Source organism: Homo sapiens, chromosome 16 (assembly GCF_000001405.40).
Source record: "Homo sapiens chromosome 16, GRCh38.p14 Primary Assembly".
Taxonomy (NCBI): domain Eukaryota; kingdom Metazoa; phylum Chordata; class Mammalia; order Primates; family Hominidae; genus Homo; species Homo sapiens.
This window is the reverse complement of record NC_000016.10, coordinates 87,675,089-87,693,784: the sequence shown is the minus strand read 5'-3', so window position 1 is coordinate 87,693,784 and position 18,696 is coordinate 87,675,089. Positions and strand designations below refer to the sequence as shown.

The window sequence follows — 18,696 nt, the reverse complement described above, 5'->3', positions numbered from 1 at the left end:
GGGCACCCCCGACTGTATGCTGGGCATCAGCTCCCAGGCCCGAGCGCCTCACCTCACACTGGGGATTGGAGCCCTCAGGCCCTAGAGACACTGGCTTGAGAAACTTTTGAGATGGAGTCTCGCTCTGTTGCCCAGGCTGGAGTGCAGTGGCATGATCTCAGTTCACAGCAGCCTCTGCCTCCTGCGGGTTCTGGAAATTCTTGTGCCTCAGCCTCCTGAGTAGCTGGAATTACAGGCGTGTGCCACCATGCCCGGCTAATTTTTGTATTTTTAAGTGGAGACAGGATTTCACCCTGGTGGCCAGGCTGGTCTCGAACTGATAACCTCAGGTGATCCACCTGCCTCGGCCTCTCAAAGTGCTGGGATTATAGGTGTGAGCCACCGTGCCTGGCCAAGAAACTTTTTAAAGAAAAAGTTTGCTCAACAGATAAGCTGAACCCCAGTCAGCAAAGGGCTTTGTAAACTGTCCTTGGGATGCAGCTCAGAGAGGAGGGTCCTCAGAGGGTGAGGTGCTGCCTAGGGGGCACCTGCAGCCACAGCAGCACCAGGCCCACACCCTCCGCAACCTCCCAGCCTATCAGGGACCTGAGGCGCAGATGGAAGTGGAGTTGTGGACACAGCAAGGGCCTCCACTCAGCCAGAGAGAAAGCAAGCTGCCCTGAGCCCAGCTTTCCGTGGCATCGTGGCCTCAGGCAGGTGTATTGTGAGTCTTGGGCCCCATGACAACTTGGTTGGGCCGGGCCAGCCTGCAGGGGGCAGAGAACAGCCAAGGGCCCAGCCCTGCCCACTGATGCCACCCCTGGTGCAAAGTTCCCCCACCCCAGCGAGGAGGAAGGGCCGGATGCTAGTCAGCCTGTAGTGGGGTAGCAGGACAGAGTGGGGTGGTCAGTGGCACCTCTTCTGCCACAGTCCAGCCCGTGCTCTGGGCCGGGAAGCAGGTACGGACGCTGTGGGCGAGGGCGTGGCTGCCCGCAGGAGGGAAGCTTCTGTCTCCCCAGCCATCCTCCAACCCTGGACCCCACCATCAGGTCATATCCATCATTTCACCAAGAGGGAAACAGCCAGGGCCAGAGTTCCTTCACCAGTAGAGCGGTAGGGAGAACCTGTGCTTCCATCCTAAGGGACTTTACCCTGAATTGCCAGGGCCCTACACGGGCCAGAATCCCAGGCCCATCTGTGGCCAGTGGGACCCTATGTGGGCTAGAATCCCAGGCCCATCTGTGGCCAGTGGGACCCAGGGCCTCTGGCGTGTGAGCTCTGCAGCATGTTGGGAATGGTGGAGGGGGATGGCCAGAAGACAGCACCCCAGACCCTGCTGGTGGCCCAGGGGAGACACTGCAGAGAGCTGTACCCCTGTGAGGGGGTGGCACTGAAGGCACTCAGCCCAGCCTGGCACCCGACTGCCCTGACACCTGTCCCCTGACATGGATGCCGGCTGGCACGGGCCCCTCCTGCTTCCCACCAACAGGGCCTGGAACAGTGCTTAGGATTGACCGCGCCTCTACACACCATCTCCCCTCACAGACCTGGCAGAAAACACAGCTCCAAAGCTGTGGGGAGGGAGACGGGGAGGGAGACAGGGAGGGAAACCTTGTTTGCACCAGCACCAGGTACCCCAGGGTGGCCACTTCCAAGGAGCTCAGCTGGCATCCTCCAGGGTGGGTGGGACATGATGCTGCAGCTGACGGGACCTCCAGATTAGCCCCAGCTGGAGACCGGGCAGGACCAGGGCAGCATGTAGCACCCTGCGTGTCGCTAACTCATCCCAGAGGCCAGCTTGGCACTTGTCCCCAGCTTGTGCATTGACCCCCAGGGAGGTTCATTTAAAAGCACCCAAAAGTGTCAGTGCATTAAGCAGGCTAAAAATAGAACCCGTCCCTACACCTCCCACCCTGCCCACTGCTTGGCTGTTCCTAAAATAACCGCGCGCGCACAGCCACGCACACATCTCCGGCTGCGATGGGGAAAATCAAGTTGTAAGTGTGAGCTGGTATTTTGGTCCCAGCAGGAGCATAGGGGCTGTTCTCTGTGGGCTTTGGGGAACGGGGAGGCATCTTAGGAACCCAACAGGACAGACAGACGTCCGCAGTGGTTCCAAGGAGAGGCAGAAACAGGCATTGCCGCCCGGCAGGACGTGCCCCTTCAAAGGGGTGTCACGCGGTGACCCCTCTGGGGGTGGGGCTGGCAGGAGGAGAAAACCACAGCTCCCCTAGGTCAGGGGCAGGGACAGACACCGACCCCTGCCGCAGCGTCGACAATAAACCTACCAATGGTCCCCCCTGCCCGGCCCACACGCCCTGAGCGCCCCCTGCGGACACCCCCCTGCGTCCTCACACCCGAGGGGCAGACTGGCTTGCAGCACTTCTGTTCAGCACCACGCACTGCCTGGCAGCCACGAGCGAGCAGAGCCCTGCTGGGGTGAGGGCCTGGCCGTGCGCAGATCCTATGTAGCCACCGTCCCACAGCCCTTCATTCCCAAAGCCCTTCATTCCTGCAGCACTGGTCAAGGGAGCAGGGTGGGATTTGCAGAGTGAAGGTCCCTTCAAGGGGAGGCCAGCCCTGTGTGAGGCACCAGGACCCCCAGCCTCGCACACCGAGTCTAGCCTGGGACCCCCAGCCTCGCGCCGAGTCTAGCCCAGGGGGACGCTGTTCTTCCCTCCAAGCTGCCTGCCCTGGAGGAACGAATTTGGGGGGGGGGTGCTGGGTGAGGCTGACGGTGAGTTGCACACAGCGGGCCTCACGTGGGAGCCGGCTCCAACCCCAACACCCCCCATGGGTGAGAGAAACCTGGACTGGCAGCTCCCCCCAACCCCAGACCTGACTCCCAGCCCCAGGGCCAGCCTTGCCCCCAGCTGTTTCGCCTCTGGGTTCCTATCCAGGACACAGGACACTCAAGCGGTCATCTCACGGCCCAAGGCTACTGACCAGGGGCACAGACTCTTGGAGCAGCTGGGGTTGAGCACGTTGCGGGGAGCGCAGGGATCCCATGCTGCCTGGAAACCAGGAGTTTCGTGTGCTTTCTGGACAACCTGGGGGCAGCCTCTCACGGAAAGAGGTATGACACCTGCCCCACCTGGCTTCCTAGGGGAGGGTCCCAGCGACCTGAGGGCCACCACTCCCGGCTGTACCCCCACCCTACTCCACCCCTGGAGAGGAACAGGGGAGCAGTGACCTTGCTGGAAACCCTCAGGAAACACCAGGTCAGCAGAGAGGTGGATGTTGCCTCCACTGGGACCAGCCTGGTGGCCGCCCACTCACCGTACTGGACTTGAGCTCATCCCCATTCTCCTCGTCGGACTCTAGAGCGACAGGCAAGGATTTCTGGGGCGGGGAGAAGGTCAAGTCCCAACGCAGCAACCGGGGCTCGGCCCCGCCCAGCCGCAGGCTCGCCAGTTTCTGCACGGCGGGCTCCGCGGAGGAGGCCGGCCTGAAGTTCTCCTTGTTCTGGGCCTTGGACCGCAGTCTCTGCACCCCGAAGCCCCGGTCCTCGGGGCGGTGGTCGTCCCCCAAGCCCCGGCAGGCGCCGCCCTTGCTGTAGCGTCTTTTCTGGGGATGCGTCTCCATCCTCAGCAAGGGTTTCATCTCCATCCGGTAGTTGCTCAGCTTCTCCTCCTGCAGCTCCAGCAGCCTGGAGCCTCCGGGGCTGTGGTTGCTGGCCCGGTGGTGGGAAGTCCACGTGAACACGGGGGGTGACTCCGTCCGCCGCTCCCGCGGCTTGGGGTTCCCGGGCTGCTTGCGGCCCGAACCTCGGGTGCGGAAGTCATCCACGAGCAGGCCGCCGCGCAGGGCACCGCTGCGGACACCCCTGGAGCCCCCGGCCTGCTCCTCGCCCCAGCTGCTGCGGGCGCAGTCCCCGGCCCGGCCCTCCAGGAGCATCTGGATGTCCCCGCCCCGCTCCTCGTCCACCGACACCTGCCTCGAGAAGTGGGCGACCTTGTTCCTGGCGGCGGGCGCGGGCGGCGGGGTGGCCGCGGGGCTGGTGGGGAAGCTCTGCAGGGGGCTGTCGTCGGGGGTCAGGTCGGAGGGAGTGGTGCCCTTGCGGTACAGCTCGGGGCTCTCCTGCTGCAGGGGTGTCCCGGTGGACAGCACCTCGATGTCGTCACAGGAGGTCTGACGCTTCGGCCTCTGGTACTCCAGCCCTGTATGGGGACACAAGACGACGCCAGACGGCGTTACCCAGCACATTCCACAGCGAGGCCGCGGTCCCCGGGCCAGGGCGCCAGAGGGAACCTCAGGGCAGCAGAGGCGCTTCCCACTCACCGAAAGGCTGCAGGCAAGGGAGGGGAGTGGGGACCGTGGCTCCCAAAGCCCTCTGTGGGACCCCCGTGGTCCCCACCCCACAGACACTTGGAGGGAGACTGGCTAGGCCCAGGCACCACAGGAAGGGCGGACAGCAGCTCCCAGGCTACAAGGGAGACCCAAGGCTCGGAAAGTGCGTGAGGACGCTGGGGTGTGGACTCAGGTCCCACCAACCCTGACTCGCCTGTCCTGAGGGTAAGAGGAAGCCCCTCACCCTAGCTGACCACCTGTCTGGGGAGGCCGAGCTGTCACAGCAAGGCCGCCAACACCCCTACCCGCCTGGGACTGTGTCTCAGGGTGCTGGGACAGTCTTGCTGAGAAACAGCCAGTGCCGGGGCCAGCGTGAGAGCCCAGGAGCCGACTTCCCTCCCCACCTTTCGAGGCTGCTGGGGCTTCAAGTCCTAGGGCGGGGCTCCCCGGAAGGGGAGGTCACCACAGGACCCAGGGGCCAGCTCTGCAGCCAGCAGAGTCCCTGTCGTCTGCCGGTGGCTCAGTCCCCATCAGCCCCCACCCGGAGGCCTGGATAGGGAGGGGCAGCATTGTAGGACTAGCCCCGAGACTTCTCCGGAGCTCCGTGAGCCCCCAGCAGGAGGTGAGAACCAAGAACATTGACTGGGATCTCATTTCCTGCCAACGCAGGGACACGGGAGCCATGCCCGACTTTATTCCATTAGGAGAAACCCAAGAACGCGGCGCTTCTTACCCTCCGGGGAACAGTTACACGTTCATCTCAAGTAGCGTCCTAGGCTCAGCACAGAACAGTGGGACCCCCGCCCCCAGCATCCCCGTCCTGCCCGAGCCAAAATGGTGCAGAGCTCTGTGGGAATTTGGGGAGTCTTCCCTCTGAGGACGGAGGTCTCAGAGCTCTACCCGGGGCGGCCACCTCATGAGACCAGCTCGGACACCAAGAGCCACTGCCCATCTTAGAGTCTCTCACGCTCGGACATTCTCCTGGCCTGTACCCCAGTCTGACCTTTTGGCAGGAGAAGGTCTGGGAGACGCCTGTACCCCAGTCTGACCTTTTGGCAGGAGAAGGTCTGGGAGACATGGCTACCCTCGGTGTGGCACCAGATAGTCCCTCCGTTTGTAAAGAGACGTTAGCAAGCAGATTCGGGGCACGCTGCGACGCCACCAGGCTGGGCTGCTGTGTCCTCCTCCTTGCTGGTCTAAGAGGCAGTGCTGAGCAGAGCGAGGCCATGGCCCTGGCCTGGGGCTTGGGGCACAGCTGGGTAGCTCTGGGTGGGTGGCCAGCCCTCCCAAGTCTGAGTTCCTGTCACACGGGGGTGTGGGTGGGCCACTCTGAGGTCTCAATGACTGCTTCTCTGTGGTCACTCCCCAGAAACAGGGCTGGGCTGGTTGGGTGTCCCCCGAGCAGAGCAGGGAATGGGCCAGAGAAGGTCTGTGTAGAACTGTGCTGACATCCACGTACCCACCTGACGCCCAGCCCCACCACCTCTCTCCCCGTGAGGGTCCTGTGTGGAGGGCAGCCCTGGCCCCATCAGAGGCCCCCAATCATGCCCACGGATCACCCACATCGTACCTCCTCCTTGGCCAGGATGGGACTTCCAAGGGGCTGGCATTCCTGTGCCTTAGACGCTATGGACCTAGCAGGCTGGGATCAAGGCCCCCCCCATCCCCCGATGGCGCCCCGGCCTTTCCCACCAGGTCGTCCACCCACTGCTGCCGAGATCAGGCCTGGCTGGCCCAGGAGACCCCACGCTAGAGGGGCCCCGACTCCCAGCACCACCAGCAGGAGGGCACCCTCAGCTAGAATGAGCTGCTGAGCAGGTAACGTTCCTAGAAGCCTCGTGGTGAGGATGCAGGGCGGGTCCTCGTGAAGCCCCTGCAGCTTCTTCCTGTGCCTTCAAGCCACCTGCGTCCTGCAGCCTCCGACGCTCAGTCCTCCTGCCTCTGGGGCGGGGGCGGATGGCACCGGAAGTGGCCTGGGCACTGGACACCGCATGGCCAGGCTCCTTCATGGTCCTGCCTTCACGTGGCCTTGGGCAGAACCCTGACGGTCAGAGTTCTCGGGCTGGGAGGCTGCCAGGGACCTCCCAGACAGGCAGCAAGAGGCTGGCGCCAGCCACTCTCTGCAGCCGAAGCGCTGGATGGTTTGCTTCTCTAGAAGCCGGCATGGCCCAGGCTTCAGAGCCTCGTTTTAAATCCTGATTCCACCACATCCTGCCTGAGCGCTCTGGCAACCCTGTTCCCCTCTTGGAGGCTCTGTTCTGTCATCTGTCATTGGTGACCTCAGCTCCTGGCTGTGAGGACGACTGAGGAAGGACCTGGACAGCTTCCCCCAGCCCCACCCCTCCCCAGCAGCCGAGAAGGCCCCGGGGTGCCTGGTCTGGGAACACTGATCCTGAATGCATCCAAGGCGGAAACAAGAAATGCTTGGATCAAATCTCATGCCAGTCCCAGCGCTTGTAAAAAACACACGGTCCCAACGCCCCCTCCAGGGAAGATGCTGCTCAGAGAAGGCTCCGGGGCGCCACCCAAAGAGGTGGCAGATCGGACCGAGGTGCTCAGAGTGAGCCAGGCTCCAAGGTGCAGCAGCAGGAGGTGAGGCCAACTTGGCCAGACCCTCGAGGACTGGACTCCCACCAGTGAGGCAGCAGCGGCCCCGTCTCTCCATCACAGCGGCCCCCACAGGGGCCCGCATCTGTATCATGAAGACAAGAACTGTCGGAGGAGGCAGCTTCAGGACTTAAAAGGTCAGCCCAAGGCCCCTCCTGCAGGGACCTGAGCCCTCCAGGAAGCATCTCCTCTGAATCCAGGACTGAGCCCTCCAGGAAGCATCTCTGACTCCAGGACTGAGCCCTCTGGGAAGCATCTCCTCTGAATCCAGGACTGAGCCCTCCAGGAAGTATCTCCAAGTCCAGGACTGAGCCCTCCAGGAAGCATCTCTGACTCCAGGACTGAGCCCTCGAGGAAGCATCTCTGACTCCAGGACTGAGCCCTCCGGGAAACATCTCTGACTCCAGGATTGAGCCCTCCAGGAAGCATCTCTGACTCCAGGACTGAGCCCTCTGGGAAGCATCTCCTCTGAATCCAGAACTGAGCCCTCCAGGAAGCATCTCTGACTCCAGGACTGAGCCCTCTGGGAAGCATCTCCTCTGAATCCAGAACTGAGCCCTCCAGGAAGTATCTCTGACTCCAGGACTGAGCCCTCCAGGAAGCATCTCCTCTGACTCCAGGACTGAGCCCTCCAGGAAGCATCTCCGACTCCAGAGTCTTAACTGGAATTCTCAGGGTGGGGGAGCCTGCACCCATTTCTTGGGACTGGAGCAGTAAAGCACCACGCGGGGGTGGGGGTAGAAACACCCAAAAGGCAAACTCGTGTTTCTGGAAGTTAGAAGCCGTGATCCAGGTGTCGGGAGTGCTGCTTCCTTCCAGGGTCTCCGCTCCAGCCACCCTCCAGCCACGGAGTCTCCAGTGATCTCTGACATCACTCCATCCGCCCCTGTCTCCTCCTCTTCTGTCTCTTCTAAGGACGCCGCGTGGATCTAGGACTCACCCCAATCCAGGCTGATCTTGTCTCAAAGTCTGTTCCATAATGACACCTGCACAGACCCTCCTCCCAAATAAGTCACGTTGGGAGCTTCCGGTGGATGCGTCTCTTGGGGGATTTGGCACAGGATGGAGGCTTCAATGTTCCCTGTCTGGTCCCCTTCCTTTCACACATGGAACTGAGGCTCTGAGAGGAAACAAAACAGGCCGCAGGCAGTGGAATGTGAGTCGCAGGCAGGGCTGGAGCTGAGGCGACCATGGGCCAGGGTTGGTACGTGGAATCCCATGCCGTCCTACGTGCATTCTGCGTGGAGTGGCCCAGCCAGGGTTCTGGCAGGTGCCCCCGACGGCACTGGCTTCCTCTCCAGCATCCCTGTTCCGTTCGTCCATCCCGCAGCACTGCACCCACTCCCCACATGCACGTGCACGCTACACGTGTGCCCCCAAGTGTGCGCCCCACCGCCTCCCAGCCCAGGCAGCTGGTCGTGGGCGAGGCAAGGAGGGGCCCCAGGGAGAAGGAAACTCAGGGCCTGAGGGCGAGACCATGGAGGATGCCAATGGCCACAGGGGCACGTGGCCCATTGCCCTCCCACTTGGACACTTTGGGGTGCGTGTGTCTGGAGGGGCCAGGAGAGTGGAGGGGACGCAGTGGAATAGAAGCTGCCCAAGGCGGTGGGGGTGCGGGGGCTCGTCCTCCTGACCTCCAGGCTGCAGCTGCAGGCTCTGCAGGGCCCGGCACTCGCCCAGTGAAGGCAAGGTCTTGGAGTGGTGGCGGACGGTCACCTCTAGAGATGATGTGGTCTCGCGTTCCAGTCAGGGGAGCGCCCAGCCCCGCAGCCCCCAGGCTGGGCTCCTCATCCTGTCCTGGTGGCCAGAGTGGCAGGCGTTGCGAGCAAGTTCAGGGCTGTGGTGTCAGGTGCGGACCTCCAGCGCGCAGAGCCTCATCCGAATACCGCTCACCGGTCAGAGCTCGGGTTGAGGGGGCGCGCTCCTAACCCCATTCTCTGGGGCCTCCTGGTGCAGAGGAAGCTTCCTCCAAGATGAGGTAGGAGATGGGAGGCAGCTGGCCACGGCCTCTCCGCCACCCACCCCACACCCTCCACGCCCCCGCCACTGTCACTGGGCCGTATCACCCATGATCCCCCCCTCGAAGGGAGGACGAGGTTCCTAAATCAGGCAGCAGCTTCCAGCTCTTTCCGAGGGGCACAGCGGGAGCTGCCATTTGTGACGCTGTCCAACCCAGCAGCCACTGGGTGTGTTTAATGGTAAGTTAGTTCACATCAGAGGCAGGTCAAGAGCCAGGACCGCAGACACACCCAGCTAATGGCTGCCACGCTGGACCCAGCAGATAGTTCCATCATCCCAGAAGGTTCTAGAACAACACTGGGGGAGGGCGGGCAGCAGACAGCACAGGCTGGGCAGGTGGGAATTCACCGTCAGGGACAGCCGGCAAGCAACACGCGGTGCCCCAAGGACTGTGGGAATGGGAGAGACCTGCCAAGACACATGTCCTGTGTCCCGGGGAGCCAGGCCAGGCCTTGGCACAAACAAGCACCTTCGGCGGGAGAGGAAGACACCGGGCAGGGGAGCAGCTGGGGCTGAGCCCATCTAAGCCTACCCGCTCTGGAGGACACATCTGCTGCCAGGACTGCCCAGCCATCCACGCACCCCCTCCCCACGATGCCAGTATCAGGCCCGGCGAGACTCACCGTTTTCCCGGTGCTGGAAGGAAGGGGAGAACTCTTTGGCAGTGATCCTGGCGATCCGCGCCTCCTCCTGGGCTTTCTGAGCTGCTGTGAGGGCTGCCTCGGCCTTTGCCCGAGAGTGGGAGGTCCTGGGGGAGACAGGGAGGAGCGTGAGGGGGGGCAGGGGGCACAGGTGACAGGGGTCTGGGTTGAGGTACTCTGCCAACCCCCCAACAACGGGCTGGGCTAAGACAAGATGCTGGCACCCCATGTTTACCCTCAGACTTCTGGATCTTGTTCGTTCATTCATTCATTCATTCAATAAACATCACTGAGCATCAACCAACCAGGCCCAGTGCACAGGACATGCTTGAAAACACCTCTGGGCAGGGCATGGTGGCTCACGCCTGTAATCCCAGCACTTTGGGAGGCCAAGGCAGGAAGATCGCTTGAGCTCAGGCGTTCACGACCAGCCTGGGCAACATGGCAAAAGCCTGTCTCTGCCAAAAATACAAAATTAGCTGGGTGTGATGGCACGCATCTGTGGTCCCAGCTACTCGGGACACTGAGGCAGGAGGATTGCTTGAATCTGGGAGGTGGAGGTTGCAGTGAGCTGAGATCGCGTCACTGCACTCCAGCTTGGGTAATAGAGCAAGACTCTGTCTCAAGGAAAAAAAAAAGGGGAGGGGCTGGGCACAGTGGCTCACGCCTGTAATCCCAGCACTTTGGGAGGCTGAGGCGGGCAGATCATGAGGTCAGGAGTTCAAGACCAGCCTGCACAACATGGTGAAACTCCGTCTCTACTAAAAATTACAAAAATTAGCCGGGTGTTGTGGCACGTGCCTGTAATCCCAGCTACTCAGGAGGCTGAGGAAGGAGAATTGCTTGAACCTGGGAGGCGGAAGTTGCAGTGAGCGGAGATCACGCCATTGCACTCCAGCCTGGGTGACAGAGCAAGACTCCATCTCAAAAAAAAAAAAAGAAAATGTTTCTGTTCTTATTATCAACAAACATCAGCATGTGCACAGAAAGAGTCCAAGCCCAGACAACCCACCCCGGCGGTGCCGGCCCGCTGTGCTGTGTGTGTCTGTGCTTCCTGCCACTGCCCCGGTGTGGGTTGCGGGACCACCTCCCTGCCCAGTAATCCCAGCAACTCTGACTTGGGAACCCAGGGCTTGGGCAGCTGGGCAGTTCCCTCACCCAGCCGAAAGATGACGCCGACACCCATGTGTGACACGAAGGAGCCATTGTACCTGTGGGCAGCCGGGCACGTCACCCCTCTGGCCGCTCCCTGACTGTGTCTCTCCCTCTGCTGAGTCCTGCAGGGGACCTGCCCACCCTTTGTAAGACAAGGGACTAGACAGACGTCCCGAAGGCAGAATGTGGGGCTCTGTGCATCTCAGCAGCCTGGGGCTTGCATTTCTTCCTACCTGGTGTGCTGGCCCCCGGGGGGGCCTGCCAGTGGCCATGGGCACCACTTCCCCAACAATGGGGAAACTGAGGCACAATGACCAATTCCCCCACGACAAATCCCCCCTCCGAGCAGACTCCCTGGGAGGTCTCCTGTTCACGGTTCCTGACTTAGCCTGTTGGGGCTGCAACAAAGCACCGCAGCTTGGGCGGCTCATCAATAGCAGACATTGCTTTCCCCCAGTTCCGGAGGCTGGAAGTCCAAGATCAAGGTGCCAGCAGATTTGGTGTCTGCAGAGGACCCACTTTCTGGGTCCTGGACAGCACCTTCCTGCTGGGTGCTCACATGGTAGAAGAAGCGAGGGTGCTCTCTGAGGCCTCTTTCATCAGGGCACTAATCCCCACTATGAGGCTCAGTCCTCAGCCCCATCACCTCCCAAAGGCCCCACATCCTAGCACCATCGCCCTGGTGGTGAGGATTAACACCTGCACCTAGGGGGCGCAAACACCTTCTACGCAGCCTGACCCCCCATCTCTGCCATACCTGTCACTCCAACTCCATGGGCTAAGCCTGGAAACCACACACTGTTCATGAAAGATGGCTTTCTTGTTTCAAGATTCCACTGTGCTAACTAGGAACAATTTTACTAGAAGAAAAAAAACCTATGACATTTACATACAGAGAGTAATATAAACCACAGCCAAGAACACGTGTCCAGGAAATGAAGCAAGCTGCTGGGAATGCCCCACCAGGGCTCCAAGAGCCAGAGAGTGCTCCAAACGCTGGCCCAGAGAGCACACCCCCTGTCTTGTGGGGGCTCCGATTCCAGGCCCTTGGGTGGTCCGTGCATCTCCTGAAACTGTACTCAAAGTTTTCTGCATGACCCCCCGCCACAAGCAGAGGGTCCACAGCTTTCATCAGATTCCAGGAGGATTTGCGATGCCCCAAAACTAAAGATGCGCGGCCTGAACACAGCTAGCCCTGGACAGAGAATCCGAGGCTCAGCCATGCTGCAGCACCCAGGACACTGCATCCCAGCACCTGCCCGAAAATCAGCCCAGGACCCAAAGGAAAGCAGGCTCCAAGCTCCCCGGAAGCCAAGGAAAATAGGAAAACATATCCTGCCCCGGGGACACCTTCTGGAACTATGACCACATGCACTTGACCTTCCGGAACAATCACCGCATGCACCTGACCTCCCGGAACTGTCACCACCGCGCGCACCTGACCTCCCGGCACTGTCACGACCGCGCGCACCTGACCTCCCGGCACTGTCATCACCGCGCGCACCTGACCTCCCGGAACTGTCATCACCAGGCGCACCTGACCTCCCGGCACTGTCACGACCGCGCGCACCTGACCTCCCGGCACTGTCACCACCGCGCGCACCTGACCTCCCGGCACTGTCACCACCGCGCGCACCTGACCTCCCGGCACTGTCACCACCGCGCGCACCTGACCTCCCGGCACTGTCACGACCGCGCGCACCTGACCTCCCGGAACTGTCACCACCGCGCGCACCTGACCTCCCGGAACTGTCACGACCGCGCGCACCTGACCTCCCGGAACTGTCATCACCGTGCGCACCTGACCTTCTGGAACTGTCACGACCGCGCGCACGTGACCTTCTGGAACTGTCATCACCGCGCGCACCTGACCTCCCGGAACTGTCATCACCGCGTGCACCTGACCTCCCGGAACTGTCATCACCGCGTGCACCTGACCTTCCGGAACTGTCATCACCGCGCGCACCTGACCTCCCGGAACTATCATCACTGTGTGCACCTGACTCCTGCGATGGGTAATATTTCGTCAATGTCTCTCCCACTCCCGTAAGCTCCCGGAGAGGACGGGGTCTTTCACTTCCCCGGCTGTTCAGACCTCGACCACAATGCCCCCCACCACACACAGCACGAGGGACCAAATGGGAAACTCCCCGGATGGGCCCATTTGGTTCCCACATCTTTGCTTAGTAAAAATACCACCAACATGAACTCACCAACATCATACGTGTGTTTACATATATACGTTCACACGTATATAAAAAGACGACGTGGTGCCTGCACTAAAATAAAACCAATCCAGACAAGCACGTCATGGAGGAGGAGACTCCCAAACGCACTGCAGCGGTTTGTCATAAATGAGACACCAGGTCTCGGCCTGGCACCCAGTTCTCCAAGGGGTAATGGCTCCTGACGCCTATGGCTCCCACCTGTGGAGGGTCAGGCCACGGTGGCACAGGCAGGGAGGGCATCTGAGCTCACCTGGGGCCCCCCACCCCTGCACCATGGCTCCGTAGTGCCTCCACCTAGTCACGTTACAGATCCCGCCTTTCTTGCAACCTTCCCTGGAGGAAAAGGTCGCGATCGTTCTTGCCCTGCCTGGCCCTGCATGCGAGGCTCCCACAAGCCGCTCTGAGTCAGAGGCAAGAGGCAAGAAAAGGCCCGGTTCCTGGGCCAGAGCACAGCCAGGCTGCCCACCAGGGCTCCGCTTCCTTCTGGGTCCACACCGCTTCCTTCCGGGCGCAGCCCCTCCACACGCCGCAGCCCTTCATCCCTGGCCATCGTCACCAGTCCTGAAGCCACACTCGGACCTTCAGCTCCAGCCAGTCTTACCAATGTGGTGGCTCAGGGATCACTGGAGCAAAGCGGGTTCCAAGGCAAAGGAGAGCTGCTGCCTCCCTCCGCCAGAGGAAGCCAGCCTCCTCCCTTACTGAAGACAGGGAAACAGCGCACCCAGGGCAAGCGTCTCCTCCTCAGGTGTCATTGCCAAGGCAACCCTGCCTTTGCAAGGGAGGCAGCTGGGTGGGGAGACCACACCCTGGGCTGGGTGTGTGGCTGCCCTGTCCCCAACGGGTGCCCAGAGGAAGACCCAGGCTTAGAGGCGGGGTCCACAGGCCCCCCAACAGGCTGGTCAGCTGGGTGGGGTTGGGGTGCACCCAAGGCTGGAGCAGAGGGCGGGGGCTGTGCTGAAAGCTGGCCCACACAGGCACCCTCCTCCCAAGACCAGCTGGGGGCCTCTGAAGGGCCATGGGCAGGGAGGGACCAACTATGACATGTGTGCTGAGGGGGCCCCTGGCCAGTGCCTGGAGAACTGGGGTAAGAGAGGACACGGCCGGGCCTCCCAGATGGTGGCCACCCGGACTAAGGCTCTGGTGGGCCCTGGCCCAGGAGCAGGTCAACACCCAGCCCAGACCCACACGTGCACACACGGAGAGCCGGCACGACCCAGCCCGGACAGCGAACACCAGCTTCCCAACCCACTGGATGAATGCGTCCGGGGGACAAGGCAAGGATTGGCAGGGTTTTAAAAACCATAAAGGTCAAAGAAGAGCTCCAACAGCTCAAGGGGAGGAAACTTAGGTAACAGTCTCTCCCTGCAATTATTTTAATGGGCTTTTCTGCCGGTGCCAGGATGGAAGAGGGAAGCTTCTGCAGAGCCCAAACCAGCCCCATTCCCTGGAAAGTGCATTTCATCAGACCTGACCCAGGCTGGGTTGTTAAAGACAGGAGGTCTGCGATCAGAGCAGCCTGGAAAGCCAGAGAACATTCCAGATCCAGGTGACCCCTCTCTTATCTTTAGACCGAGTCTTCCCTCAGCCCCATTTTTCATTTAAAAAATTTTTAAAGAAAGAAAGAGAGAAACCCTAAGCAATAAAGGAAGTGGTGTCCAGGCCACGGGCAGGTCCAGTTTCTCGGACTCCTAAGGGTGGCAGGGACAGGCAGGAGGTCGAGGAGCTCTCAGCTGAGCCTGGCCAGCTGGGGGATGGGCACACGGGGGCCCCACTGCCCAGGTCTGCGCCTGGGGCTGCAAGATGGGGAGGATTTGAGGTCTGAAGTTCACGTAAGTGTCCCGGGCTACGGTAATGAATGACCACTAACTAGGTGGACTTAACACTCACTCCTTTTCTCACGGTCCTGCAGTCCCGGAGTCCAAAATCAAGAAGTCACACCCCTATCGGAAGGCTTTAGAAAATCCTCCCATCCATCCTCTCTCCAGCTGCTGGCGGCTGCTGGCGCCCTCGGCGTTCCCAGGCTCGTGGTGGCCTTACTCCCGCCTCTCGGCCTCTGCCCTCATGTGGCCTTCTCCGGCACGTGTCTCTCTCCTCTTCTGCCTCACGAGGGCACTCTTCGTTGGATTGGGGCCCAGCCTGATCCAGGAGAATCTCATCTGCAGATCCTTAACTAATTCCATTTGCAGAGACCCTTATTCCAAGAAGTTGGAAGTGAGTTGCCAGGCAGACCTAGCTTTTGGGGACACCATTCAGCCCACTACAGAGAGTGTGAGTATGTGAGTGTGTATACACAGACACACACATATATATATATTGTGTGTGTGTGTGTGATGGAGTCTGGCTCTGCTGTCCACACTGGAGTGCAGTGGCATGATCTCGGCTCACTGCAACCTCTTTCTCACAGGTTCAAGAAATTCTCCTTCCTCAGCCTCCCAAGTAGCTGGGACTACAGGTATGTGCCACCAAGCCCGGCTAATTTTTCTACTTTTAGTAGAGACAGGGTTTTGTCATGTTGGCCAGGCTGGTCTCAAAACCCTCAGGTGATCCAACCGCCTCAGCCTCCCAAAGTGCTGGGATTACAGATGTGAGCCACCACGCCTGGCTGGTTTATAATCTTATTTTTTAGAGACAGGGTCTCCCTTTGTCACCCAGGCTGGAGTGCAGTGGCACAATCACTGCTCACCACAGTCTTGAACTCCTGGGCTCAAGCAGTCCTTCCACTTCAGCCACCCAAGTGGGCAGGAAGACACTACGCCTGGCTAATTTTGTTTATTTTTGTAGAGATGGGGTCTCACTATGTTGCCCAGGCTGATTCCGAACTCATGGCCTCAAGCATTCCTCCACCTTGGCCTCCCAAAGTGCTGGGATTACAGTGGGAGCCACCACACCCAGCCTTACATACAGGGTCTTAATGTTCAGTTCCTTCGTGACTTTTCAATCCCAGGCCAAATGTCACTCCTTGGTAAGACAGTCCTGACCTCAATCCCCATCCCCACAATCTCAGGCCTCCGGCTTTACCTCGTTTACACAATTCTGTGATTGTGGTTCGTGGAGACAGGAGCGGGTCTGCCTGGTACACACTCGTAGGTGGGTGTTCAGCTGAACAAATGAATGAGTGAATGGGCAAGCGAGCTCTTCTGTAAGGAGCCTTCCAGCCCAGCCAATTCCTTTGGATCTCTGCTTTCCAGACTCCCTGGACAGCACCGTCAGCTGGCGAGAAGGTATGACGGGGGCCACGCTGTCCACGTTCACCAGCTGCTTTACCTGGGCAGGCTGCATAATCTCTGGGCCTCAGTTTCCTCACCTGTGCAGGGGGTTTAGTAAGGAGGACCCTTGTAGAACCCCTGCAAAGATTCATGGGATGAGGTGCAGACAGCACACAGCCCAGCTGTTCTTATGCTGGATAAGATACCTGATGGGTACCTGGTGGGCGAGTTTTTTTTAGCAGCTTTATTGAGATATCATTTATTTTGTTTGTTTTTTGAGACAGAATTTTGCTCTGTCACCCAGGCTGCAGTACAGTGGCATGATCACGGCTCACTGCAAACTCTGCCTCCCAGGTTCAGGCAATTCTTCTGCCTCAGCCTCCCACGTGGCTGGGATTACAGGCGCCCACCACACCCGGCTAATTTTTTTTTTTGTGTGTGTGTGTGTGTGTGTGTGTGTGTGTGTGTGTGTGTATATATATATAGTGCGTGTGTGTGTGTATAATGGAGTCCCACTCTGTCGCCTAGGCTGGATTGCAGTGGCACGATCTCAGCTCACTGTAAGCTCCACCTCCCGGGTTCACGCCATTCTCCTGCCTCAGCCTCCCGAGTAGCTGGGACTACAGGCGCCCGCCACCACGCCCGGCTAATTTTTTGTATTCTTAGTAGAGACGGGGTTTCACCATGGTTTCGATCTCCTGACCTCGTGATCCGCCCACTTCAGCCTCCCCAAGTGCTGGGATTACAGGCGTGCGCCACCGCGCCTGGCCTAATTTTTGTATTTTTAGTAGAGACGGGGTTTCGCCATGTTGGTCAGGCTGGACTTGAACTCCTGACCTCATGTGATCCACTTGCCTCAGCCTCCCAAAGTGCTGAGATTACAGGTGTGAGCCACTGTGCCTGGCTGAGATAACAATTTTTTTTTTGAGATGGAGTCTTGCTCTGTCACCCAAGCTGGAGTACAGTGGTGTGATCTCAGCTCACTGCGAGCTCCGCCTCCCAGGTTCAAGGGATTCTGCTGCCTCAGGCACCCATGTAGCTGGGATTACAGGCGCGCACCACCATGCCTGACTAATTTTTGTATTTTTAGGAGAGACGGGGTTTCACCACGTTGGCCAAGATGATCTCGATCTCTTGACCTCGTGATCCACCTGCGTCTGCCTCCCAAGGTGCTGAGATTACAGGTGTGAACCACTGCACCCCGGCTAAAATATCACCTATATACCATAAATGAAGGTACCGTAAATGATATATTTATATACCGTAAACCTGAAGAAGAGTCTGAAGTCACAGAGCCACTTAATGCATTTATGGATCCACTCGTTCAAAAAGATGTTGTTAAATTGAGTGTCTGCTACAAGCTAAACACACTGTTGTATATTAGGACATAGAGGAAAAGGGAGACACAAACAAGGTCCTTGCTCTGATAGGGATTCTGGTCTCATTGAGAAGACGGCTGATACAAAGGTAAACACATAAAAAGAGCACATTTCCATGGCCACACGTTCTAAGAAGACAGCAATTACACTCCTGTTGAGAGTATAATTCACTGGTTTTTAGCACATTTACTGAGGCGGGTCACCACCATCGTGATCTAACTTTACAGCACTTTCGTCGCCTGCGACAGAAACCCCATATCCATCAGCTGCCCTCCCCATCCCTCCTCCCAGCTCCTGCCAACAGCTGATCTGCTTTCTTCTTGCTGTTGTTGTTTCATGGAAAACATTTCTTTCAGAAAGGAATTACAGAGCGAAAGGCCAGCAGGGCAGAGGTGCAGGCAGCCTGGAGGAAGGGGTGCGAAATAGGATGGGAGTGGGTGTATGAAAGGTGAGGAATAGTGGTCCTCTCCCCAGCCCCTCCTGGGTCAGAAGCAGTGCTGGGGAACAGGGCCTGGGCAGCAGGCACCCCACACCTGCTTCCTGCTGCAGCTGGGACCACCTTTAAACCTTCACTGTGGAGTCCCTTTTTGAGTTAACAGAAACTCTGCTATAAAATCAGACAAAACTCTAGAAAGCCACACTCCCGGAGCAAAACAGTAAAAGCCAGAGGGGGAGTGTGGAAAACACAGCCCCAGACACAGAAAGGCCCTCCCACAGCACGGCTGTGCCACTGCGGGCTGCCGGCAGCCTCCGGCTGCAGCAGTGTCTGCTGGGCTCATCTGCCCGCTTACCTGGTACACACAGACAGGGCACACCCACATGCTGGATATGTGCAGGCCCCAGGGCCTCAAAGCACAGGGCAGGTCCTGCCCAGGAGCAAGAGGAAGGCTGGACGGGGAGGCTGGTCTGGACGGGGTCACTGGAGCAATGAGCAGCACCGACACTCTGGGTTGGTGCTCAGCATCAGCCCAAAGGAAGCAGGCGTGGCTGAGGCCTGGGAGGCAGGAGGAGTTGGCAAGGGGAAGAGAGCTCCAGGATGCAAAAGGCCCAGGGGCAGAGGAGGGGTCAGCGAGTCGGGGAAACGGCGGGGGAGGGGCGGGGGGTGAAAGCTTCTGCCAGCTGGGGGGTGGGGCATGGGGTGGTAGAAATCATCCTTCCACTGCCTAGCTATTCTCAGGGATTGTGGCTGGAT

At 59.5% G+C, this 18,696-nt stretch overlaps 1 protein-coding gene across 2 annotated transcripts in view, besides 4 other annotated features; it reads right to left on the bottom strand.

Annotated features, from left to right (window-relative positions):
* Nucleotides 1–18,696, bottom strand: part of JPH3 (junctophilin 3) — a 96,322-nt gene that overhangs the window by 4,372 nt on the left and 73,254 nt on the right. For both annotated transcript variants that reach the window (NR_073379.3, NM_020655.4), the window contains exons 3-4: nt 9,519–9,643; nt 3,259–4,139 (exon numbers count right to left, since the gene is read on the bottom strand). Coding sequence is in view for 1 of the 2 variants with exons in the window: in NM_020655.4 (NP_065706.2) it covers nt 3,259–4,139; nt 9,519–9,643 (1,006 nt within the window). In the remaining variant the exon portion in view is untranslated. The remainder of the gene's footprint in view (nt 1–3,258; nt 4,140–9,518; nt 9,644–18,696) is intronic.
* Nucleotides 7,852–8,434: an enhancer, noted in NCBI's record as "H3K27ac-H3K4me1 hESC enhancer chr16:87718957-87719539 (GRCh37/hg19 assembly coordinates)". NCBI's record gives its function as "activates a minimal SCP1, AML or CMV promoter by ChIP-STARR-seq in primed H9 embryonic stem cells {active_cell/tissue: H9 hESC(primed)}" and the evidence as "EXISTENCE:reporter gene assay evidence [ECO:0000049][PMID:30033119]".
* Nucleotides 8,435–9,019: an enhancer, noted in NCBI's record as "H3K27ac-H3K4me1 hESC enhancer chr16:87718372-87718956 (GRCh37/hg19 assembly coordinates)". NCBI's record gives its function as "activates a minimal SCP1, AML or CMV promoter by ChIP-STARR-seq in primed H9 embryonic stem cells {active_cell/tissue: H9 hESC(primed)}" and the evidence as "EXISTENCE:reporter gene assay evidence [ECO:0000049][PMID:30033119]".
* Nucleotides 13,474–14,380: an enhancer, noted in NCBI's record as "H3K4me1 hESC enhancer chr16:87713011-87713917 (GRCh37/hg19 assembly coordinates)". NCBI's record gives its function as "activates a minimal SCP1, AML or CMV promoter by ChIP-STARR-seq in primed H9 embryonic stem cells {active_cell/tissue: H9 hESC(primed)}" and the evidence as "EXISTENCE:reporter gene assay evidence [ECO:0000049][PMID:30033119]".
* Nucleotides 17,740–18,288: an enhancer, noted in NCBI's record as "H3K4me1 hESC enhancer chr16:87709103-87709651 (GRCh37/hg19 assembly coordinates)". NCBI's record gives its function as "activates a minimal SCP1, AML or CMV promoter by ChIP-STARR-seq in primed H9 embryonic stem cells {active_cell/tissue: H9 hESC(primed)}" and the evidence as "EXISTENCE:reporter gene assay evidence [ECO:0000049][PMID:30033119]".